The 25,737-nt window shown below is 47.1% G+C and overlaps 4 annotated features.

Moving 5' to 3' along the window:
* Positions 10,324–10,443: a silencer, noted in NCBI's record as "silent region_13020". NCBI's record gives its function as "represses an Ori minimal core promoter by ATAC-STARR-seq in GM12878 lymphoblastoid cells {active_cell/tissue: GM12878}" and the evidence as "EXISTENCE:reporter gene assay evidence [ECO:0000049][PMID:35858748]".
* Positions 10,655–11,155: an enhancer, noted in NCBI's record as "H3K4me1 hESC enhancer chr20:49076728-49077228 (GRCh37/hg19 assembly coordinates)". NCBI's record gives its function as "activates a minimal SCP1, AML or CMV promoter by ChIP-STARR-seq in primed H9 embryonic stem cells {active_cell/tissue: H9 hESC(primed)}" and the evidence as "EXISTENCE:reporter gene assay evidence [ECO:0000049][PMID:30033119]".
* Positions 13,105–13,633: an enhancer, noted in NCBI's record as "H3K4me1 hESC enhancer chr20:49074250-49074778 (GRCh37/hg19 assembly coordinates)". NCBI's record gives its function as "activates a minimal SCP1, AML or CMV promoter by ChIP-STARR-seq in naive H9 embryonic stem cells {active_cell/tissue: H9 hESC(naive)}" and the evidence as "EXISTENCE:reporter gene assay evidence [ECO:0000049][PMID:30033119]".
* Positions 21,857–22,822: an enhancer, noted in NCBI's record as "H3K27ac-H3K4me1 hESC enhancer chr20:49065061-49066026 (GRCh37/hg19 assembly coordinates)". NCBI's record gives its function as "activates a minimal SCP1, AML or CMV promoter by ChIP-STARR-seq in primed H9 embryonic stem cells {active_cell/tissue: H9 hESC(primed)}" and the evidence as "EXISTENCE:reporter gene assay evidence [ECO:0000049][PMID:30033119]".

Here is a 25,737-nt window from a genome sequence, read left to right as displayed (position 1 = left end):
CAAGCCTGCAGGCAAAAAAAAGCACTTTTGTACCTTGATGGTGGAGGTGGAAATTGGCACAGTCCTATGGAGGACAATTTGACCATATCTGTTGAAATGACAAATATATATACCCTTTGACGCAGCAGCCACAGATTCTGAAAATGTATCCATCAGATATTCTTGCTCAAGTGCAAAATGACATATATCTGGGATCATGTTTAGAGCAGAGGTTTATTGTCTATCTCCCTCATTAGAAGGGAGGACCTATGAGGGCAGGAACCTTGTTGGTCTTGCTCCCCCATGACTGCCCCAGCTCCTAGCACTGTCTTTGAACATAGTAGATGTCACAAAGACACCCCTCACTCAATATCTACATGCTCCTCTACCTTTCCCAGCCTTCCTTGCAGTAAGGTTGAAAGTACATGGCTCATTTATGCCCAATGGGATATGCAAAAGTGATGGAAGCTACTTTCAGGTCTGGCCGTTGAAAAATTCCATGTTACCTTCTAGCTCTCTCTTTGCCTACAGTGTTCATCTCTAAGACTTCCTTTTCCAGATAAAGAAGGTGAGGTAGGAGATCAGTAGGACTTATTTTCCAAGCACAAATCACAGCCCTGCTGATCAAAACAGGATGCAGTAAAGAAACTCGCTGAAACAAGCAGATGGTGACAAAAGTGACCTCTAGTTGCCCTCACTGCTCATAGCATAAAGACACTCCCACCAGCACCAGGACAGTCTGCAAATGCCATGGCAATGACCTGGAAGTTACCTTATATAGTTCTGGGAACCCTCTGCCACTTTTCTAGAAAATTCTGAATAACCCGCCCCTTCATTAGCATATAATTAAGAGTGGGTATAAATATCGGTAGCCCTGGTCTGCAAGGACTACTGCTCTGGGCTGTGGTCTTTGCTGCTGTTCTGGGCTGCTCTGCCTATGGAGTAGCCCTGCTCTGTCTACGGAGCAGCCCCTCTGCTGCACACTGCTGCTCTAATAAACTTGCTTTCTTTCACTGTTGGCTCACTCTTGAATTCTTTCCTGAGTGAAGCCAAGAACCCTCCCAGGCTGAGCCCTGATTTTGGGATTCACCTGCATCAGCCTGTTCCAGATGGAGAAAAGTACTCAATTTGTATCATAATGCAAAAGCAAGAAATGAACCTTTGCTGTATTAAGTCACTGCAACGCTGGCTTTGTCCCTGCAGTATAGCCTATTTTATTCTGACTAAAGTACTGTAGTAGGTGCTCAATAAATACTTGTTGAATAAATGTAAGCTGTAATGATCATTCTTGTGCCCTGGATGAGCTACCATGTTGCTGGGTACATATTTAATACTTTGGTAGATAGCACAAACTGTCCTCCAGAAAGTTTGCATCATTTTTTTTGTTTGTTTTACGTTGTTTGAGACAGGGTTTCACCCTGTCACCCAGGCTGGAGTGCAGTGGCACAATCACAGCTCACTTTAGCCTTGACCTCCTAGACTCAAGTGATCCTCCCACTTCAGGCTCCCAAGTAGCTGGGACCACACACATGCACCACCACATCTGGCTATTTTTTTTTTTTTTTTAATTTTTTGTAAAGACGAGGTCTAGCTATGTTGCCCAGGCTGGTCTCGAACTCCTGGGCTGAAGTTATCCTCCCACCTTGGCCTCCTAAAGTGCTGGGATTACAGGTGTGAGCCATTGCACCGGGCCAGTTTGCATTAATCTATACTCCCACCAACAGACATAATGATAACTCACACACAGAGATCTTGCTCTGTTCCAGGCACTATGCTCAGTGCTTTGCACATATGAAATAAATTCATGCCCACAACAGACCTATGTGGTAGGTACGATTATTGTCCCCATTTCACTGATGAGGCAATGGCAGCACTCGGAAATTAAATGACTTGCTCAAAGTCACACAGCTGGTAGGAAGGGGAGTGTTTTTAAAATTACAGATTTCCAATATCCTGCTTTTCAAATGAACTGGCCAAGGTCCAGGAATCTATTTTAAAAAGACTCCCCATATGCTGCTGATAGTCAGCCAGCTTTGGAAACCAGCTCCCTGGAGGACTTAAGTTAAAGGTGCCAAAGAGTAGGTTTCATTTATTTATTTGTTTTTAATAGAGATGAGGTCTCGTTATATTGTCCAGGCTGGTCTTGAACTCCTGGGCTCAAGCAATCCTCCCACCTTGGCTTCCCAAAGTGCTGAGATTACAGATGTGAGCCATCGTGCCTGGCCCAGTTTTTGTTATTTTTTTTAATGCCGCTATAACATAGGGGCCTCCTTGGCAGGCATCTTTAGATGGTCTTAAGTATTTGTTGAACAGGAATAAACTGATATAAGTGAATCAAACTTGTATACTTCCGTTAAAGAAAAAAAAAAAAGAAGGCCAAGTGCGGTGGATCATATCTGTAATCCCAGGCACTTTGGGAAGCCAAGGAGGGAGGATCACTTGAGTCCAGGAGTTTGAGACCAGCCTGGGAAACACAGTGAGACTACATCTCTAAAGAAAATTTTACAAAGAAAATTAGCCAGGCATGGTGGTGCACACCTATAGTCTCAGCTACTCAAGAGGCCAAGGTGGATCACTTGAGCCAAGGAGTTCAAGGCTGCAGTGAGCTATGATCACACCAATGGACTCAGGCCTGGGTGTCAAGCAAGACTCTGTTTCAAAAAAACCAACAAACCAAAAGAAGAAGAATCAAGAAGAAGAGAAGAAGGAGGAGGAAGAGGAGGAGGAGAAGGAGGAGAAGAAGGAGAAGGAGAAGGAGAAGGAGGAGGAGAAGGAGAAGAAGGAAGAGAAGGAGAAGAAGAAAGAAGGAAGAGGAGGAGGAGGAGGAGGAAGAAAAAGAAGAAAAGAAGAAGGAGGAAGAGCTTTATTTATGTATGCCAGGCCAACTTCTTTAGAGGTGTATTATTAGAACATAATTTCGTCTGTGGGGCCCAGAGACATAAAATAAGAGACTGAAATATGATAAGCGTTTATTTGTTTTTCACAGGGATGTCTGAGCTGGGCGGTGGCTCTGTACCAGAAAGTTGTCAGAGGCTTGGGCCCCTAACTTGTTGTCCCATTCTCACCAGCATGTGGACCCCATCCAGAGGTCCAAATGGCTGATCACCTTGTTTGCTGTCCCATGTTCTGCTCACATCTCATTGGCCATACCTCAGTCACATGGCCGCTTCTTGCTGCAAGGGAGGCTGGGAAATGTAGTCTTTACTGCAACCAGCCATGTGTTTCCACGGAGCATTTACCTCTATAGAAGGGAAAAACTGATACTGGGGACAACTCTCAGACTCTACAACTGGAGGCATTATTACAGAGCTTAGAATTTAGATTCTGGAACAAAATAGATTACTCATTCCCAATAACAGCACTATGCCATATGGTTTCAGAATTTTAGCTGACCATGACTGCCAATTTCAGGAGGCCCACTTGGCTGGTCTTGGGGTTTGTGATATGCCTTATGGTTGTATAATGCAATAAGCACATGTGGGGTCACAAACTAATCAACAGCAATAGATTCAAGCCAACAACGTTTCTTTTTAAATTTCTTCTCAAGGGTGTCTTTGTCAGTGTCAGAAGAGAGGTTAATTAATATTTTGCTGATTATGTAAGAAGTTACATGTAGAAAAACCAAGATTTCTTTTGGCTCTAAGCATCTACTTTTTTTCAGCAGTATTTTAATTCCATAGATATGTTGGTGTCCAGGGAGGGCCTGAATCGCCTGCCCCTTATTCTAGTCCTATCTTCGGTATTAACAGACTATCCCTGCCCCCGCCACCACCTGAATACAACTTGATTCCAAATAAGGAAACAAGGAAAGTGAACAAACTTATTCGTGGGACCCATACTAAGTCCTAGGCACTCAGCTGGGTGAATAAGCCTCCTTCTTGTGGTGGGTGACGATTGTTTTTACCTACCTGGCTCCCATTTCCTCTGCCCCTGTAACAGCATCACAGTTTTTGTAGAGAAGACTCCTGGCTCAGTGTCAGCTCACATGGTTTAGATGGGGCTGAGCCTACTTCTGGATTTAAATACAGGCATCCGACCCAGGCCTGGACAATCAGTGTGCTCCACTCCAAGGATTCAATTCTGTACTTTTTCCAGAACACTGGGAAAGAGAAGTTTTTTTGTTTTTTGCTTTTGAGGCGGAGTCTTGCTCTGTTGCCCAGGCTGGACTGCAGTGGAGCGATCTCGGCTCACTGCAACCTCTGCCTCCCAGGCTCAAGCTATTCTTGTGCCACAGCCTCCCAAGTAGCTGGGATTGCAGGCACCTGCCACCATGCCTGGCTAATTTTTTTGTATTTTTAGTAGAGACAGGGTTTCACCATGTTGATCAGGCTGGTTTTGAACTCCTGACCTCAAGTGATCTGCCAGCCTCAGCCTCCCAAAGTGCTGGGATTATAGGCATGAGCTACCGCGCCCAGCTGAAAGAGAAGTGTTTCAGCTGGACTTGAAGCTCGTGCAGCATGGGCCTGGAGCCGTTGTTGTCTACCTTTTGCCATCATGTACTCATTCCTTCATTCAGCAAATACTTACTGAGCACCTATTATGTGCCAGGCAGTGTTCTAGGCACTGGGCTATAAAGTGGAAAACAAAACAAAACAAAACAAAACCCACAAAATCCTTGCCTTTAAGGAGGGAGTTGACGTTCTAATGGGGACAGGGATACAGAAAATAAACACATAAATGTGAAATATGGTCAAAAGATGATAGGTGATACGGAGCAAAAAACAAAACAAAACAACAGCAAAGGCTGGGTGTGATGGCTCATGCCTGTAATCCCAGCACTTTGGGAGGCTGAGGCGGGGGGATGACTTGAGGTCAGGAATTCAAGACCAGCCTGACCAACATGGTACAATCCCATGTCTACTAAAAATACAAAAAATTAGCTGGGCATGGTGGCAGACTCCTGTAATCGCAGCTACTCTGGAGGCTGAGGCAGAGGAATTGCTTGAACCCAGGAGGTGGAACTTGCCGTGAGCTGAGATCGTGCCACTGCACTCCAGCCTGGGCTACAGAGCGAGACTCTGTCTCAAAAAACCAACCAAACAAAAAACAAACAACAACAATAACAGCAGCAAAAACCAAACAGGATAAGGAGGGCAGGAGTATGCAGGGGCTATGACATGTTGTCCAGGCTGGTCTCAAACTCCTGACCTCGGGTAATCCATCCGCCTTGGCCTCCCAAAGTGCTGGGATTGCAGGCGAGAGCCACTGCATCAGGCCAGTATATTTATTTATTTATTTATTATTATTTTAGACAGAGGCTCGCTCTGTTGCCCAGGCTGGAGTGCAGTGGCACAATCTCAACTCATCACTGCAACCTCCGCCTCCTGAGTTCAAGCTATCCTCCCACCTCATCCTCCCTAGTAGCTGGGACTACAAGCGTGCACCATCATGCCTGGCTAATTTTTTTTTTTTTTTAGTAGAGATGGGTTTCACCATGTTGGCCAGACTGGTCTCAAACTCCTGACCTCAAGTAATCTACCCGCCTCGGCCTCCCAAAGTGCTAGGATTACAGGCGTGAGCCACTGCACCAGGCCAGTTTATTTATTTATTTATTATTTTTTGAGACAGAGTCTTGCTCTGTCACCCAGGCTGGAGTGCAGTGGCACAATCTCGGCTCACTACAGCCTCCGCCTCCTGGGTTCAAGCGATTCTCCTGTCTCAGCCTCCTGAGTAGCTGGGAGTACAAGCGCGTGCCATCACACCCAGCTAATTTTTGTATTTTTAGTAGAGACAGGGTTTCACCATATTGGCCAAGATGGTCTTGAACTCCTGACCTCGTGATCCACCCACCTCAGCCTCCCAAAGTGCTGGGATTACAAGCGTGAGCCACTGCACCCGGCCCAGTATATTTATTTTTAAAGGAAACTTAATAACTCTACTGCATCAGCCAACTCGAGCTATGTTTTACTGCAATAACAAACAGCCCCAGCATCTCAGGAGCTTGTTAATGACAAAGGTCGATTTCTTATTCATATTGAGAATATGAATCCTCAGTTATTTTCTCATTACTTGTTGGTTGTGGGTCACTGCAGCTCTGGGCCGTATGTCATCTTTACTCTGATCCAGGTTAAAGGTGCAGCCCATTCCTGGGGCAGGCCATTCTCACAGCAGAGATAAACCACATGACAAAGCCGCTTCTCGAAAGCTTAGCTCACACTCTGTTGCCCAAAGGAAGTCACACAGCCAAGCCTGACTTCAGCCGGGAGGGTCACCAGGGAATTGCCAATGGGATAAATACTTTGACAATAATACAATCTACCACATCTACTGTAAAGGGAAAACCAGCACCACTTGCTCTCAATAGAAGGTGACCACAAAAAGTAAATATTATGAAAACATGTAACTTTATTAAATTCTAGCCAAATAATTTTGCCTTCTGAAGGCACTAAGTCTGAGGCCCACTCTCAAACAGAAAGTTCGGAAGGGAGGCAGGTAAGTGTTAGAAAGGCGTTAATGTCATGTTCCTATCAAACTGAGACTGCCGCCTAGATGCCATCAGAATGATTGACAGAGAATGAAATGTTATTTGATACTGGGGTGCTGTGCCCACCAAGATCTCCCCACGAATCCCACTGGTATTTGTTCTATACTTTGGAAGACCCAGCTTCAGAATCGCTCTAGGGGAGTAGAGAAGGAAACTCAGTGTCTGAGGGAGGGATGATAATGACAGCCACCTGTTAGGGGTGCCGCTATGTTGCACAGTTTCATGAATGGGGCCCCTGAAGTTGTGCAACATGGCGGTCCTGGAGAGAATCTCTGCGGGTTACCTCATTTAATTCCCACCTCCGCTCTGCCAGGTAGGCAGGATTACCTCCATTTCGCAGCTGAAAAAACTCAGATTCAGGGAAGTTCAGTGCCTGGCTCAGGACCGCAGCTGGAGGGGTCGGGGAGAGGCTCTAACCCTCCGGCTTGAAGGTGTAGTTTCAGACTTGGCCACTTGGTGTCACTCTCTCCAAACTGTCGGAAGAACCTCTGAGCTGGCCGGTTTGTGGGGGACTCCGGGCCCAGCTAGTTGCACACTGATCCCCAGTCCGGCAAAGCGGCCCCTCCTGTCCTCCCTCCGCCCTGTCACCCTTGCGGGGTGCAGAATTTCTGCCTGTTCCCTGTTTGAACTGGGTCTCTGAGTACGCCTGAGCCAAGTACTTCACAGGCATGATCTCACTCGAGCCTGCCAGCAGCAATGTGGTCTCAGACTACAGATGAGGAAACTGAGGCCAACGGCGTAGGAGCAACTTGCCCAGCTAGTAAGTGGCAGTCAGAGTTTGAACTCAGGTCTGAGTTAGAAGCTTGGCGTTTTGATGCCCAGAAAGTGCATGGTAGGACAGTTGTATTAATTCTCGATTTTTCATAGAATATATTTCCAACCCACTCCTCAGTCTCTGTAATGTCCTTGGCAATGAAAATAATCTGCCTGTTTAGAGAAGTGTATGTGTTTTTGGTCTTTTCTTTTTTTCATGTAGAAGTTAGTTTTCCCCTGACTACCAAGAGAACACTGAGGTGTTTACTTACTTAATTTTTAAAAAAATTATCTGAATATACCTTGATAATTATTTATTTTATTTTATTTTATTTTATTTTAAGACGGAGTCTCGCTCTGTTGCCCAGGCTGGAGTGCAGTGGTGTGATCTGGGCTCACTGTAACCTCTGCCTCCCAGGTTCAAGTGATTCTCCTGCCTCAGCCTTCTGAGTAGCTGGGACTACAGGTGAGCACCACCACACCCAGCTAATTTTTTTTTTTTTTTGTATTTTTAGTAAAGACGCGGTTTCACTATGTTGCCCAGGCTGGTCTCAAACTCCTGGGCTCAAATGATCCTCCTGCCTCGGCCTCCTAGAGTGCTAGGATTTACAGGCATGGGCCACCACACCCGGCTGGTAATTATTTTTTTAAATTAGAAAATCTAAGTAAAAAGAACAAAATATAGCCAGAAGTGGTGGTGCATGCCTGTGGTCCCAGCTACTTGGGAGGCTGAAGCTGGAGGATCACTTGAGCCTAGAAGATCAAGGCTGCAGGGTGCTATGATTATGCCACTGTACTCTAGCCTAGGTGACAAAGTGAGACCCTGTCTCTGTATTTTTTAAAAAGAACAGACCGGGCACAGTGGCTCACACCTGTAATCCTAGCACTTTGGGAAGCTGAAACAGAGGGATCGTTTGAGCCCAGGAGTTCAAAACCAGCTTGGGCAACTTAGTGAGACTTCGTCTTTACAAAAAAAAATTTAATTAAAAATAAAAAATCAGCCAGGCATGGTGGCAAGTGCCTATAGTCCCAGCCACTCAGGAGGCTAAGCTGGGAGGATCACTTAAGCCCAGGAGGCAGAGGTTTCAATGAGTGGTGATCGCATCACTGCACTCCAGCCTGGGTGATAGAGCAAGATCTTGTCTCAAAATAAATAATTGATTAGAGAAATAATAAAAAAAGAACAAAATAAAAGTCGCTTCTAATTCACATCAGCCACCCAGAGATAAGTGCTATTGACACGTTGGAGCATATCCTTCAAGGCATTTTTCTCTCTGTCATCTATCAATGCATTAAAAAGTTCCATTTTTAAAAACTAACAAGGGATTGTATTCATATGCAAAAATTCAAAAGATACCAAAAGATTTACAGTGGGTCTTCTCCCTCTAATCCTTAACCCCCATCCCCAGCTTTAAAACTCCAAGCTTCCCTCCCCAGAATCCATTCTGGTTATCATTTCTTGGGGATCATTACAGAGACATCCAGAACACAGATAAGCAAATATGTGCGTGGATTCCTGTACTCATTTCTCTAAATAGAAGCACACCACACACCCTGTTCTGCACTGGGATTTTGTTTTTTTCAACTTAGCAATGTACCTTGGCAGATCTTTCCAGATCAGCACTAGGAGAGCATTCTTTGCACATTCCATTGTCTGAATATAATAATTTATCTAACAAGTTTTCTGGTGATAGTCACGGAGGTATTTCCAGGGTTTTTCTGCAACAAACAATGCTGCAATTAGTATCCCTTTCACAGAAGTCTTTCCATGTATTCAGAGCTATTTCTGATGGATACATTCTTAGCAACTGAATCGCCCAGTCATAGGGCAGGTGCGTTTAAACATTTTGACGCTGGTTGTCTAAATGCTCTCTAAGGTTGTACCTACCAATCGTCATTTGCACCGGCAACCTCCGTGAGCTCTGGTTTCCCCACGTCCTAGCCAAGGCCAAGTATGATTGGACTTCTTGATCTTGGCCTTGCCGATAGGGGAAAAAGGTGTTCACCATAGTTCTAATCTACATATTCATTGTTTATATGTTAGATTGGACATTTAAAAAATACGTTCAAAGACTGTTTATATTTCTTTTCTGGTGGCAAAGCATTCAAATTGTTAGTCTATTTTTCTCTTGGATAATTGTCTTTTTGTTGATCTGCTAGGGATTTTTATATACTAAGAAAATGAGGTATTTGTTTCTCATACATGTTATGAAAGTACATATTTTTAAAATATAGATATATCAGGCCGGGTGCAGTGGCTCACACCTGTAATCCAAGTACTTTAGGAGGCCAAGGTTGGAGGATCACTTGAGTCCAGGAGTTTGAAACCAGTCTGGGCAACATGGTAAAACCCTGTCTCTACTAAATATGATGGCAGGTGCCTGTAGTCCCAACTACTTGGAAGGTTGAGGTGGGAGGATTGCTTGAGCTTAGGAGGTGGAGGCTGCAGTGAGTCGTGTTCACTCCAGGCTGGTTAACAACCAAGATTCTCTCTCTCTCTCTGCGCGCGCGCGCGCACACACACACACACACACACACACACACACACACACACACACACACAGATAGAGTGTTTGTATACAATGTTTCTGAGGCCTGTGGTCATTTGATAATATATTGTGCATCCTTTCCCATATCTGTATTTCTTTGCAGCAAAATTATTTGTTGATAGTCAGTGAAAAAAATCACTCTGAGTACACTGGAAATTCATCAAACACAAGTGGCTATGAATTGCTATGAACACAGCAATAACAAGTATCCGAGAGGAGGCTTGTGAAGCATCTCGTATGTTTCATCTGTTTATGCACTTAATTTAATCCTAAGCATCTCGTATGTTTCATCTGTTTATGCACTTAATTTAATCCTAAGCATCTCGTATGTTTCATCTGTTTATGCACTTAATTTAATCCTCCCAACGAAACTGTGACATAAATAACATCATCCCCATTCCAGATGAGGAAACTGAGGCCCAGGAGAGTCATGGGATGTGTCCAAGGCCTCCCAGATGGTCAGTGGAAGATCTGAGATTCAAACCTATGTCAATTTGTCTTTGAAACATTGGCTACCGCCTTCCATGACCTTAAATTCCCACATTCCCAACTAGTCTGGATTAAACACCCGGAAGGTACGTCCTCATCCTCCCCTCCCACCACCCTGGGCTGGGAAGAGTCATGTAGTTTAGGGCTGGGCCACCAGGAGGCGCTAGGGACAGACACATTTCTTGCCTGTTGTATGGGGCTGGGAGCAGGCTGGGGCCAGGCACCCTGGGACGGGGCACTACTTGGGGCCTGATGATCCTGAGGGCTGAGGTGGCTCAGGCCAGAGGGAATGGCTCCTGCCACGTCTAGAGGGAATCACCTCTGGCAGCCTTCAGGGACTCCTAGATATCTGGCCATAGCTCAGCCCCTCTGGGGACTTGGACTCCTGTAGATCCGGGTTCCTCAGCCTCAGCACGTAGTACACGGGGCGGAGTACACGGGGCAGCAGAATCTTTTGCTGATCTGTCCTGAGCCTTGCAGGCTGTTCACAGTCTCCCTGGCCTCTACCCATAAGATGTTGGTAGCCCCTCCCCACCCAAGTTGTGACAACCCCAGATGTCTCTAGACATTGCCAAATGTCCCCTGGGGGGCACAGTTGACCTTGGTTGAGAACCGCTGCTGTGGACGCTCAGGGTAGGCAGATCACACACATGACGGGAGCCAGCCCTGTGTAAGATAATAGCAGCTCACACCTAGAGAGCCCCACGGAGAGAAAATCATTGACACTCTATGAGGTGGGGACTGACACCACCTCTGCTTTACACATGAGGAAACTGAGGCCAGAAACGTTCAGTGACTTGCACGAGGCCACACAGCCGGTATGTAGCACAGCCGGGGGTTGAACCCAGGCCATCAGGCTCTAGCATCTGTGCCCCTAACCACTCAGGCAAGATGCATTGCTGGTCCATCGAATCCACAGGAGTGTTCTCCATGGCCACAAAGAAATACTTCTCTCCCAATTTCCTCTTTACCTAAGTTCATTTTCCACTTTTGACCAAGAGCCACCTGTAAGAGATTTTTCATTTTCCTTGTAATGGTACTGAGAAAAACACCAGCCCAAACTGCCATGATAAATGGCAGTGGACACAACCCCAATAGCAGGACTGCATTGTGGAGCAGTGGGGACCGTGAGCACTCAGAGGCTCAGCCCCGTCAGTCCTGGTATATTATTTCCTGGTATGGGTGCCGGCCCAATTTTGCAGGAGAAATCAGAAATCTAGATTTTTAATGTGAAATTTCCTAATTTTAAAATAATGACAATTCAAAAAATTAAAAACCCTGTGAAGATCAAACAAAATATGTCTGCAGCCCAATTTACCCTGATAACTGCCAGTTTGCAATCTTTCCAAAGGGCACATTCAATGTCCAGGAACAAACCCTGAAAGGTGAAACCCTCTTAGTGCCCTCTGCCTTTCATCATTATTTATTTAGTTAGTTCTTTTTGTATTCAGTCACCCATTTATTTTATGCATGCATTCCACCCACCCAGTCATCCACTAATTCATTAATTTGCCCATCTGTTCATTCATCCCTCCATCCATCATCCATCCTTCACCCACCCAACCATCCATCCATTCATCCATCCACCCATCTATCTGTTCATCCATCTCTCCAGCCATCATCTATCTCTCATCCATCCATCCATCCATCCTTCCTTCCATCCATCCATCCATCCTTCCATCCATCTGTTCATCCTTCCATCCATCCACCGACCCATCCATTCATCCACCCATCCATCCATTCATCCATCCCTCCATCCATCATCCATCTCTCACCCATCCATCCATCCTTCCATCCACCCACCCATCCATCCATTCATCCATCCCTCCACTCATTATCCATCTCTCACCCATCCATCCATCCATCCATCCTTCCATCCATCCATCCACCCATTTATCATCCACTCACCCATTCATCCATCCATCCATCCATCCATCCATCCTTCCTTCCATCCATCCATCCACCCATTTATCATCCACCCACCCATTCATCCATCCATTCTTCCAGCCTTCCATTTGTTAACATCTACTTTAGTGGAAATGGAAAAAAAGATGACAAATCACAGACATCACAGACAAGGATAAAACCAAATGGTGTTAAAATCTGCGTGTGTGTGTGTGTGTGTGTGTATCTCACTGTCACCCAGACTGGAGTGCAGTGGCACCATCATGACTCACAGCAGCTTCAACCTCCAGGGCTCAAGAGATCCTCCTGCTTTAGCCTCTTGAGTAGCTGGGAGTATAGGTGCATGCCACCATGCCCAGCTAATTTTTTAATTTTTGTAGAGATGAGCTATCACTATGTTGCCCAAGTTGGTCTTGAACTCCTGGACTCAAGCAATCCTCACGACTTGGCCTCCCAAAACTTTGGGATTATAGGCCTGAGCCACCACATCCAGCCCAAATGGTATTAAGTTCAGACTCTGTCATTGATCAACTGGGCAACCTTGGGCAAATTATTACACCTTTTGAGCCTCAGTTTCCCCGTCTGTGAAATGGGGCTAACAGTAGTACCTTACTGCTTGCAGGCAGGTCTTCAGGGTTAGGCAGGTGAGGCGAGGTAACATACGCGAGTAGGGGGCAGGTGGTGAGGCCCTTTTTTTTTTTTTTTTGAGGCAGAGTCTCGCTCTGTCGCCCAGGCTGGAGTGCAGTGCCACGATCTCGGCTCACTGCAAGCTCCGCCTCCTGGGTTCACGCCATTCTCCCTCAGCCTCCTGAGTAGCTGGGACTACAGGCGCCCGCCATCATGCCCGGCTAATTTTTTTGTATTTTTAGTAGAGACGGGGTTTCACCGTGTTAGCCAGGATGGTCTCATTCTCCTGACCTCATGATCCGTCTGTCTCGGCCTCCCAAAGTGCTGGGATTACAGGCGTGAGCCACCGCGCCCGGACAAGGCCCTTTCTTTACAGACGCTGCCGTGCGACACGTGTTACGCTGCAGGGAAACACAGGGCCGTGGCATTAGGCAGGGTTGCTAGCTCCATCTTGGGGTCTGGGGAGTGGGGGCATGTCTTGCCATGCCCAGAGTTGGGAGAGGAGTTGCTTTGTTATTAGTTGCCACAACTTCCCCTGGTCAAGCTGACACCCTACCCCCGCCCGGCACACGATGGTTTTCCTGCTCTTGCTTAACTTCTAAAGGGCAGCTCTTTCTCTGTCCACCCCGCCACACCCCACCTACCCCACCCCCTGCCCCAGTTTGTGGGAAAACTCTATGGAACAGAAAGGGCTTGCGGGTTCCTTCTCTAGATTCTTTGTTATTTTTTTTCCCATTTAAATTGAAACCATGCTTATTAAAGAAGAGTAGAAAAAAACACATCAAACAAGAAAGAAGAAAAATTATTTTTTTGTCCCATCCTTCTAACAAAACCACACTAAACGGTCTGTTTCTTTCTTTTCCCCAAGCCAGGGTATTGGACTGTGTGTGTGTGTGTGTGTGTGTGTGTGTGTGTGTGTGTGTGTGTGTTACATAGTTGTAAATCACTCTTTACTGTTGTGTTTTAAAAAAATTTTTCCGTTGCAGATGATCCTCGACTAACAATGGTTCATTTTAGGACTTTTCGTGTTTATTATGGTACGAAAGAGATAGGCATTTGATAGAAATCATACTTGGAATTTTGAACTTTAATCTTTTATCAGTTTAGCAATACAGAGTACAATAATTTTACATGAAATACTCAACACTTTATTATAAAATAGGCTTTGTGTTAGATGATTTTGCCCAACGTAGGTGAGTGTAAACGTTTCGAGCACCTTTAAGGGAGGCGAGGCGAAGCTATGATGATGTTCCGTAGGTTGGGTGCACTAAATGCACTTTTGACTTAATGATATTTTCAACTTGCAGTGGGTTTATCAGGCTGCAGCCCCATCCCAAGTCGAGGAGCATCTGAATTAACTAAGCCTTCCCCCCCATTGCTCATTTTCATGAGCATATTTGAAGGGCTGCACTGATTTAGCATGCAAATGTGAAGTGAGCACCTGCTGTGTTCTGTGGGAGAGAGAACAAGTGTAATGGCACAGCCAACATTTACTGAGTGCAAAGTTGGTGCCAGATGTCTTTCTAAGTACTTGTATTAAACTGCTTCTTCCTCACAACCACCCTGTGAGGTAGATGCCATCACTATGCCCTTTTTCCAGATGGCAAAACTGAGGCCCAAGGTTGCACAGCTAAGAGGCGGAGCTAGCATTTGAATCCAGCAGGGTCATCCACAGGGCTGGGTTCTGGCCATGCTGGGCTACCTTGGGCCACCCGCAAACAAGTAACCCCAGAGTGACTGAAGCAGGGATGAGGAATGTACAGGAGCATGTGATAGCCCCAAGACCATCCAGGGACATCAAGGAAGGCTTCCTGGACGAGAAGGTGACATCTCAGCTGAGAGCTGAGAGCTGAGTGGGAGGTGGGAGGTGAGGGCGCTGCCAGCAGAGGGAGCAGCCATGCAGGGACCCCAGGTAGACATGGGCACCAAGTGTTGCCAAGCTGGCACCACTGACCCTGCTGGTAGAGGTGGGCAGGGAAGATCACGCAGAGGCCATGGTCCCAGGAGCCCTGAGAAACCATGGCAGGCCCCAAAGCATTTTAAGCTGGGACGAGGCATGACTGGGGAGGCCTTCCCCCTCCAGGGTGAGCAGTGCCCCTGCTCTGCCCCCACAGCCTGGCCATTCTCCATTGTAGTCCCCTGCACCCTGGCCAGTTTTTGCCTATTTATCCTCTCTCTTCCCTCCTCAACTGAAGAAAGTTCTAGAGGGTGGGAATCCAAACTGATTTGTTCACTTCTGTGGCCTAGATCAGAGCGGGGCAGTTACAATCCCCGGCCTGAGACGACTGGACATCACTCGGTGACGCTGTGTGGAGATGGTGCCAGTTCTGTCTGCCACGGCCTTGGAGGCAGGGCCCCTCCTGTGACCCTCGGCTCCTTGGGGCTCCACGGGATGTGTCTTCAGGTTTGCCAGGACTTTGCTCCAACTTGCCCGTGGCGTCCTGTTTGGTTTAGGAGAGGCCCCGGCAAATACTGAGCCCATGTTGCGCCTCTTGGCACTGTTCTCAAAGGCCCAGAGAAGTGGGTCTGTGTGGGGCCAGCTTCCCACTTCCTTCCGGTTCCCAAACCCATCTGGAGCCCAACGCAATTCAGCTTCCTCCTCCAGCCACACCGCCTGCTCCCACAGCTGGAGACAGGAGAGACTTGGGGCTGTGGCCCCTCCCTTACTGGGGCTGAGGGCCCCGGGGTCACTGTTTACCCCTGGCCCCCACAGCCAAGCCTGCTATCTTATCAGCTCAAACACTTCAGAGTTCAGGCCAAGAAGCCAAAGTCAATTTTGAAAAAGTCTTTAAAAGGCCAAAACACAAACACCAGCAAGGGCGGGATGGGCCGAGGGGTGAAGATGAGGTTGGGGAGGGGTAAACTCTCGGGTTGCTTTACCAGATTCAAAAGGAATCAGTGATTTTCCTGGGCCCAAAGGTGCATCCAAGGACCATCACTGCAGCACTGCCTGCAGAAGCAAAAGACCAGAGCTGCCTGAGGTGTCCGTCAGTATTCTATGGTTTTTAAAAAGAATGACTGTAGTCGCAGCTAGTAGGGAGGCTGAAGTGGGAGGATTTCTTGAACCCGGGACTTAGAGGCTGCAGTGATCTAAGATCATGCCACTGCACTCCAGCCTGGGTAACAGAGCAAAACCCTGTCTCAAAAAAAAAAAAAAAAATGGCCAGACACGGTGGCTCACACCTGTAATCCCAGCATTTTGGGAGGCAGAGGTGGACAGATCACCTGAGGTCAGGAGTTTGAGACCAGCCTGGCCAACATGGTGAAACCCTGCCTCTACTAAAAGTACAAAAATTAGCTGGGCGTGGTGGTGCACGCCTGTAATGCCAGCTACTCAAGAGGCTGAGGTAGGAGAATCACTTGAACCTGGGAGGCAGAGGTTGCAATGAGCCGAGATCAGGCCACTGCACTCCACCCTGGGTGACAAGAGCAAATCTTCGTCTTAAAAGAAGAGAGAGAGAGAGAAGGAGAGAGAGAGACCAGTTACTCTCTGAGCTCTTGATGCGTACACCTTTCTGTGCAACTAAAACATACACATACAATGTGTGGTATGGAAACAGCTCCAAGATCAATTATAAAGAAGAAAAAAGAAAAAGCAAAGATATAAAGCAGTGTATTGAACTAGATCCTTTCTGTGTAAACGGGAAAGATGAAGATATAGCCCACATGCCTGTTTCTGCACAGAACAGTTCTGGAAGCGCTTACTAGGTACCTGGAAACACTAATCGGCTCTAGAGCAGTAGTCAGAGGGAGACAGACTTCTCTTTGTACACTCTGTACCTTTTGACCATCTTAAAACCATGTTGGCCAGGCGTGGGGGCTCACACCTGTAATCCCAACACTTTGGGAGGCCAAGGTGGGCAGATTACCTGAGGTCAGGAGTTTGAGACCAGCCTAACCAACATGGTGAAACCCCATCTCTACTAAAAATACAAACATTAGCAGGGCTCGGTGGTGTATGCCTATAATCCCAGCTACTAAGGAAGCTGAGGTAGGAGAATCTCTTGAACCTGGGAGACAGAGATTGCAGTGAGCCGAGATCATGCCACTGCACTCCAGCCTAGGTAACAGAGTAAGACTCCGTCTCAAAAAAAAAAAAAAAGAAAATCTCTATATATAGAAATAAACTACTAAGAATATTAGTGACTTTGTTCCAGCCAAATGGCCAATAACAAAAGGTGCAAATAGCAAAAGGTGGAGGTGGGGGGCGGGTGGTTGCAAGCGGTATAGTGACTTTCAGTGTAGATGAAATTATGGAAGACGCAGCTCACGAAGCATCTTGGGCCTATCTAGATTCTTCTCAGTAGAGTTAACCACATTCAAACAGAGCTTTCAAAGTTTCCTCATTCTTATAAACCTGGCTGTTTAAAACGTACTTTCGAAACTTCCCGAGAATTCCATAAAGTAGAATCAGATCGCTGTATAGATTGATTGGTTAATTGAACAAATACACATTGTTTTATGTGATGGAGGTGTAGCAATGAACAAGACAATCATGATTCCTCATGTCCTAGAGTCCATGGGTCTAGAGGGAGTGCCAAGCAGATAACAAGTAAAGAGCAACAACAATGCAAGAAACAAATATGACCATTTCAGAACCTAAGAGGCACTGGGAAGAAACTGAGGCCAGGGAATGGAACTGATGATGGCTGGTGTGGATAGTGGTCAGTGAGGGGCTCTCCTCTCTGAGAAGGTAACCTTTGAACTGAGACATGAAGGAGGAAAAGGAACCAACCACAAGAAAATCAGGGAAAGGGTAATTCCAGGCAGCAGGAATAGCTAGGGCAAAAGCCCTGAGGCCACATTGAGCTTTGCTGTGATAGGAACAAGAATGGTGGCCAGTGTGGTGTGGGCTTAGAGAGACAGCCAGAGAAGAACGGAAGAGCCAGATGGAGAGGCGAGCAGTGGCTGCTTCTGTGATCTTGTGGGCTTGGTACAGAGTCCAGATGAGGAAACTGAGGCTCAGAGAGGTTAAGTAACTTGCCCAAGGTCACACATTTAATGATGGCTGAACCAGGATTCAGACTTGGGTTCCCAACTTCATACCCAGTCCTCTCAACACTCACCTCTGCCCATATGTGGCAAAAGCATTAAACATGTATTTCCAGACAGGACAGCCTGCGCTCTAAGAACACTGTGTGTGTGTGTGTGTGTGTGTGTGTGTGTGTGTGTGTGTGTGTGCGCGCGCGCGCGCGCACGCATGCATCTGCGTGTGTTTGTATGTGTGTTTTAATTGCAAGGAAAAGTACACACATTATACATAAAGAGCTCAGTGAATTCTCGCCAAGTGGACACATTCGTGGAATGAGCACCCAGATGTACACAGGACATTCCAGAAGCCCCCTTGATGTCTCTCCTGGTAAATCCTCCCCACCACCACCCCCAAGGTTAATGGCTGTCCTGAATTCTAACCCCATAGATGACTTTTGCTGGTTTTGAACTTTCTATAAAGGGAAGCACACAGTGTGTGCTCTTCCCATCTGGCTTCTTTTGCTCAGCATCCTGACTGCACAGCTTGTAGAGTTCCAGTCGACTTTGACTGCCACTCAGCAAGAGCGCAGGTGGACTCCCAGAGCGCTTCCTTCCCATGAAGGCCAGGAGAAAGCCACTTGCCCAAAAGCAGTTCAAAGTACGTTGTTACGTGAAAAAGTCAGGTACAAAACCATCTGCATAGCTCAATCCCATTTTTGGAAGGGATAAAAAAGGTCTCTTTTTATGCAGAATCAAAAATGATCCTGAAAAATATGTTAAATTTCCTCTCAACCGTGGTGCATTATAAACACTTAGCAAATCCAAATAGCCCCTGGATGGAGAGGGGTCATCTTGTGTTTGGGGCCATGTTGAACAAAAAATAGGACCTGCCAGCTACACTCACTTGCCATATGAAAATTGTCATTCTCAGCCGGGCTTGGTGGCTCACGCCTGTAAATCCCAGCACTTTGGGAGGCTGAGGCGGGCAGGTAACTTGAGGCCAGGAGTTTGAGATCTGCCTGGCCAACATGGTGAAACCCCATCTCTACTAAAAATACAAAAATTAGCCAGGCGTGATGGTGCTCACTTGTAATCCCAGCTACTCTGGAGGCTGAGGCAGGAGAATCACTCAAACTCGGGAGGCAGAGGTTTCAGTAAACCAAGATTGCACCACTGCACTGCAGCCTGGCCAACAGAGCAAGACTCTCTCAAAAAAAAAAAAAAAGAAAAAGAAAAGAAACGAAAAAATAAAGATTGTCACTCTCCCCATCACCCTTTTTGGCCCACTGATGCCCAGTGAAATTGCGTGAGTTAAATGCCTGGTAGATACAATTCTACAAGATTCAAGTGTTATGTGGAGGTTTTTCCTGCGTAGTGGGGATGGCAGGTGGATTTTTTGTGTTTCTTATCTATTTATTCTAACCTTTCTTCCTTCCTTCCTTCCTTCCTTCCTTCCTTCCTTCCTTCCTTCCTTTCCTTCCTTCCTTCCTTCCTTCCTTCCTTCCTTCCTTCCTTCTTTCTTTTTCTTTCTTTCTTTCTTTCTTTCTCTTTCTTTCTTTGAGAGATAGGCTCTCACTCTGTCGGCCAGACTGGAGTGTAATGCCGCAATCTTGGCTCACTGCAACCTCCGCCTCCCAGACTCAAGCCATCCTCTCACCTCAGCCTCCCAAGTAGCTAGGACTACAGGCACATGCCACCGTGCCCGGCTAATTTTTGTATTTGTTTTGTAGAGATGGGGTTTCACCACGATGCTCAGGCTGGTTTCAAACTCTGGGATTCAAATGATCTGCCCACCTTGGCCTCCCAAGGTGCTGGGATTACAGCTGAGGGTCACCACGCCCAGCCTTACTCTAACTAGCAAAAAATAAGAACAAGAATTCATATATACTAAATAAGAACTGCAGCAGCAGCAGCAGCAATAAACTGGCAAAACAAAAAGAAAGCATTTCTGTCTCCGTTTATGTGCTTCCAGAAGGTCAGCTAGAGAAAGGGCACGTCACCCCGATGCACTGAGTCGATTGCACAAGAAAGGGAGTGCCGACTCCTCCACATCCAGGGGATCATCCAGCCTATATGTGGTTTAAGGGGCAGCCTCAAAGCCAGAAGGACTCGGGTTCAAACCCGAGCATTGCCCCTTACCAGCTGTGGCTCGGTTACTCCTCCTGCATAACAAACCCACCCCAGAACACAGCGGTGTAAAGCAGCCATTCTACTCGCCTGGAATGATATCTCTCAGATCCTGTGGTCAGGAATGCAGACAGGGCACAGCAGGACAGCTTGTCTCTGCTCCACAGTGTCTGGGGCCTCGGCTGGGACAGCCTGAAGGCTGAGGGCGACTTGGTGGCTGGGGTGCTGGCCTCGGTCGGAGAGTCTTCACTTGCGTGTCTGGCAGCTGCTACCGCAGCTGGGCCATCAGAAAGACACCTGTGTGTGACTTCTTCGTGTGGTCTCTTCACTTGGGCTGGTTTGGGTTTCCTCACAACATGGTGGGAAGGGGGAGTGACTGCTAATGGGTGTGAGGTTCCTTTCGGGGGCAATGCAAGTGTTCTAAAATTAGGTAGTGGTGATGATTGCACAACTCTGTGAATACACCAAAACCCACTGGATTGTGTACTTTAAAAGGGTGAGTTTTATGGTATGTGAATTATATCTCAATAAAGCTGGGGGGGTTTTTTTTTACAAAAAAAAAGAAGCAGAAACAGATCATGAGGATGAGAGATGATGCTGTAAGCATCTTAAGACAACACGATGCGCAGCTGGGTGCACTCCCTGTAATTCCAGCATTTTGGGAGGCCGAGGCAGGAAGATGGCTTGAGCCCAGGAGGCTGCAGTGAGCTATGATCTTGCCACTGGACTCCAGCCTGGGCAACAGAGCAAGAAAAAAAAAAAAAAAAAAACAGAAAACACAATTTGCCACACTGTGTGAGGCACTATCTTTCTATGCCTCAGTTTCTTCTTCTGTAAAATGGGACTATTTAATAATCAAATGAACTCATAGGGTCTTTCAGGGTGAAGAAAGGTAATTCTGAGCCTAGTAGCTGGCACATAGTGAGTGCTCAGGAAATGTTATTATTTCAAACAATAAAATGCCATAAGGCAGCAGTGTGTAGAGTTAATTAAAACAACAGGTTTTAGAGCCAACCCACAAATTTGAATCTAGCTTTCTCAGTGGTTAGTTACTTAACCACTCTAGATCTGTTTCATTATCTGTAAAATGGAGTTAACATAGTACCTGCCTCATACACTGTGACAATCAAATGAGTTAATAGCACGAAGGGCTTGGAACGGTGCCTATGTGCAATACAGCACAGTACACAGTAGGTACTACATAGTTGCTGACTGTTATTGCTTCTGGCATTTCCCTGGCTTCCTGGCGCTGCTTAGGTGGTGTGGATCCATTGGAAGCGTTTGTGTAATAGTAATAACAACAATGATGCTAACAGCTGGCCCTTATCCACTGTCACAGGATGAGGAGGGGATGCTGGGCACCCCCTCATACCAGCCACCAGGGAATTCCACACAGGAGCTGGGCTGGCTGCAGAGGGCTGAGTGGTAGACCCCAGGGGAAGGTGAGGCATTCAGCCGGAGGGGACTGGATTCCCAGAGGAGCAGAGGAGCAGAGGATCCTGGGGCCACTGAGGGGCTCACAGGGCTGCGGGGAAGGGAGCTATAGGCTGGAGCAGAGAGCAGGAAAGATGGGCAGAGGCCAGACAGCCAAGAAGCTTGCAGCCTGGACTGTGCCCTGAGATTCTTGGATGCTCTTTCGTTTTCTTACTGAAAATACTGGAAAAAACAGCCTTGTCCCATCTTAGGACAAACGTGTTTCTCTCTTCCTTCTTGGCCTCTGCGGGGGTGACTCTCTTCCAGCTATCCTCTCATTCCCTCCTAAGGTTCATAGCAACACCTAACACGGACAGCTTCGAAGATCCCTGAATGGTGCTAAAGGCTTTTTGCCGTAGGCTTCCCAGATTCTCACAACAGCCCTACAGAGGTTATGTAGAGAGACCCATTTTATAGAAGAGGATACTGGGGATGGAGGGAGGAGCCATTTGCACAGGTCATACACTAATGAGTGGCAGAAACAAAATCAATCTCTGACGCCTTCTCTCATTCTTTCTACAAGTCCCACTGATGGACTACTCTGCTCCAGGCATAGTTAGACTCGGGGATACAGCAGTGAACGAGAGAAATCATTGCTGGCCAGGCGCGGTGGCTCATGCCTGTAATCTCAGCACTTTGGGAGGGTTAGGTGGGCAGATCGCTTGAGGCCAGGAGTTCGAGACCAGCCGGGCCAACATGGTGAAACCCCATGTCTACTAAAAAAAAAAAAAATTGCCAGGTGTGGTGGCTTACACCTGTAATCCCAGTTACTCAGGAGGCTAAAGCACTTGAACCCAGGAGGTGGAGGTTGCAGTGAGCCAAGATTGTGCCACTTCACTCCAGCCTGGGCAACAGAGTGAGACTCTGTTTAAAAAAAAAAAAGAGACATCACTGGTTCCCTCCTCAAGCTGATGCCCTACGGCAGGAGATAGACAACTCAACAACAAGAAAAAACGTCTCCTGTATATTGAGGCCAGGAAGTTCACTGTAGTGACCAACCCAGCAGAGCAAGGGAGGAGAATGTCAGGAATGTGGGCTGTTTCAGCAGCTTTAGCCCTGAGAAGGGAGGGAGGAAGCCTTGGGAATATCTGGGGGCGGCGTGTGCAGGGCAGAGGGAACAGCAAGTGCAAAGGCCCTGAGGTTGGATCATGCAAGCACAATGTGGCTGGAGGAGAGTGAGTGAGGGGAGTTTCTCCTAAGTGCCAAAAGGAGTTGGGAAACAGGCCAGGCATGTTGGCTCAGGCCTGTAATCCCAGCACTTTGGGAGGCCAAGGCCAGAGGATCACCTGAGGTCAGGAGTTTGAGATCAGCCTGGCCAATATGGTGAAACCCCGCCTCTATTAAAAATACAAAAATTAGCCAGGTATGGTGGTGCACACCTGTAGTCCCAGCTTCTTGGGAGGCTGAGGCAGAAAAATCGCTTGAACTTGGGAAGGGGAGTTTGCAGTGAGCCAAGATTGCACCATTGCACTCCAGCCTGGGCATCACAGTAAGACTCCGTCTCAAAAAAGAAAAAAAAGAAGAAGAAGGCCAGGCACGGTGGCTCATGCCTGTAATCCCAGCACTTTGGGAGGTCAAGGCGGGAGGATCACTTGAGGTCAGGGGTTCGAGACCAGCCTGACCAACATGGAGAAACTCCATCTCTACTAAAACTACAAAAATTAGCCAGGCATGGTGGCGCATGCCTGTAATCCCAGCTACTCAGGAGGCTGAGGCAGGAGAATCACTTGAACCTGGGAGAGGGAGGTTTTGGTGAGCCGAGATCGTGCCATTGCACTCCAGCCTGGGCAACAAGATCGAAACTCTGTCTCAAAAAAAAAAAAAAAAAAAAAGAGCCGGGAAACACAGTATGTCCAGACTCCAACCTCTTGTCACCACCTCCATAGCCACCGCCCTGTCCTGCCACTGCCACCCTGCACCCGGACCACTGCAGTGGGTCCTTGCTGGCCTCTTAGCTTCCACCTTTCTCCTCCATCCCACCCCACCCGCTTCGCACACACAGTCCAGTCTCCACATGTAGCTAGAGGGAGTCTATCACCCATACAACCACATTGCCTCTGCTCAGAATCCTCCACGGCTCCCACCTCACTTAGAGTAAAAGCCAAAGATCCTATGAGGCCCTGCAAGATTGATACCTCATCCCCTCTCTGACCTCATTTCCACCCCCTTCCCCTCACTCACTCTTCTCCAGCTGCACTGGCCTTCTTGCTGCTTCACAGACACACAAGGAGCAGTCCTGCCCCAGGACCTTTGCACTTGCTGTTCTTGCTGGCTGGACTGTTCTTTCCACAGATATCCTGAAGGCTTGCTGTCCTTACCAGCTTCAGATCTTTGCTCAAATGTACCTTCCTCCTAAGGCCTTCCTTGACCACACCCAGCATGCCTTCTCCACCTTTGCAGCACTATTTTCACTGTCAGCAGAACTTACCACCCTCTGGAATTTATGCTTTTCCTTCTTTTTCTTCATTGCCTCACCAGCCAGAATATAAGTTGCATGAAGGAGGAATTTGTGTCAGTTTTGTTTGCAGCTTTCTGGCACATAGTAAGTGCTCAATAAATCTTGGTTGAGTGAATGAAGTACAAATGAAAAAAAGAATTGAGTGAAGTGGTCCTGATGGAGGGCGACAGGGAGTGGTGGGGACTGTGGCAAACGGGGAGCCCTTGCCCCATCTGGAAGGAGCAACTACCGTTTGACGGCAGCCTGAAGTTTCCACGTGGGAATGTGGGCTCAGGGCGGCCAGAGAGCCAAGAGTTTCAAGGGAAGCCAGAAACTCCTGCATTTACATGAAATGTCTTGATTTTGAAACCACTGCTGACCAAAAATCCACATCTTCCATGTTCTTAGGTGGGAGACTGCTGTTTGAGGCCTCCAACCTGGGTCAAAATGCTTGCAGTGGGTTTCATGGAATCCCAAGATATCTGGGAAAGCTGACTGGGGTTACAAGAGAGGAGTCTCGTAAGTGGAGTCAGCCTTTGAGTGTTTCTGTGAAATAAGTGTCATTTTCATTGTGAGGTTCTGGAAATGATTTTATTTCCGGGTGAGCTTCCTGCTCTTGTTTCAACTTTCAATCCTACTCTCCTATTCCTGCCAGGCCTGGGCATTTTTCTTCCACTCTGGAGAAAAAAATCAAAAGTAAATATTGGCAGAAGATTGGCTTTATTGTGGTCCTGATAAGGAATAGCATAAAACGGAAAGAGTGAGATTTTATTCCCCTCCCACAACTTCCACTCCGACCCTACTTCTTTAATATTTACTCACAAATTTCACTTCATAGAAACTCTTGGTGTTAGTTTTGTTACCAACAGGGCTGCCACATGGGGTGTGCCCTCACAACTCCAATGGCTCCATTCTACAAATGGCCCAATGAACGGCACCCGCTGAAGTTGTGCTGTGATTGCCTGTGAAGTCACGCGTCCCTTAATGACAGGGCTATGTTTTGAGAAGTGTGTTGTTAGGTGATTTCGTCATGACGAGAACATCGGAGTGTACTCACACAAGCCTAGATGGCATAGCCTACTACACACCCAGGCTACACGGTGGAGCCTGTGGCTCCCGGGCTGCAAACCTGTACAGCACGTGACTGTACTGAAAACTGTAGGCCAGCGGTCCCCAACCTTTTTGGCACCAGGGACCGGTTTCGTGGAAGAAATTTTTTTCCAAAAACCAGTGTGAGGGGGATGGTTCCGGGACGATTCAGGTGCATTACATTTATTGTGTGCTTTATTTCTACAATTATTACAGTGTAATATATAACGAAATAATTATACAACTCACCTTCACGTAGAATCAGTGAGAGCCCTAAGCTTGTTTTCCTGCAACTAGACGATCCCATCTGAGGGTGATGGGAGACAGCGACAGATCATCAGGCGTTAGATTCTCATAAGAAGCACACAATCAAGATCCCTCACATGGGCAGTTCACAATAGGGTTCGAGCTCCTATGAGAATCTAATGGCACCACCAGTCTGACAGGAGGTGGAGCTCAGGTGGTAATGCGAGTGATGGGAAGTGGCTGTCAATACAGATGAAGCTTTGCTCACTCACCTGTCACTCACCTCCTGCCGTGCAGCCCAGTTCCTAATAGGCCACGGACTGGTACCTTGGAGGGTTGGGGACCCCTGCTGTAGGCAATGGTAACACAATGGGAAGTATCTGTCTCTAAACATACCTAAACGTAGAGAGCATACAGTACAAATACCGCCTTACAGTCTTACAGGACCACGGTCGTATATGTGGTCCATCATTGACCAATGTCATTATGTGATGCATGACTGTGTATATTTGTTTATAGCGTCTCATTTTTATTGTCTGTGGCATAGTAATCCTTTGGCAAATGTTTTCTGCTTTGTAAAAGTAACACAAGCATGTGGAGAAAAACTC

The sequence above is a fragment of the Homo sapiens genome, chromosome 20, assembly GCF_000001405.40.
Source record: "Homo sapiens chromosome 20, GRCh38.p14 Primary Assembly".
NCBI classification, from domain to species: Eukaryota; Metazoa; Chordata; class Mammalia; order Primates; family Hominidae; genus Homo; species Homo sapiens.
Note: the sequence above shows the minus strand (reverse complement) of the source record. Positions and strands in the feature narration are given on the sequence as shown.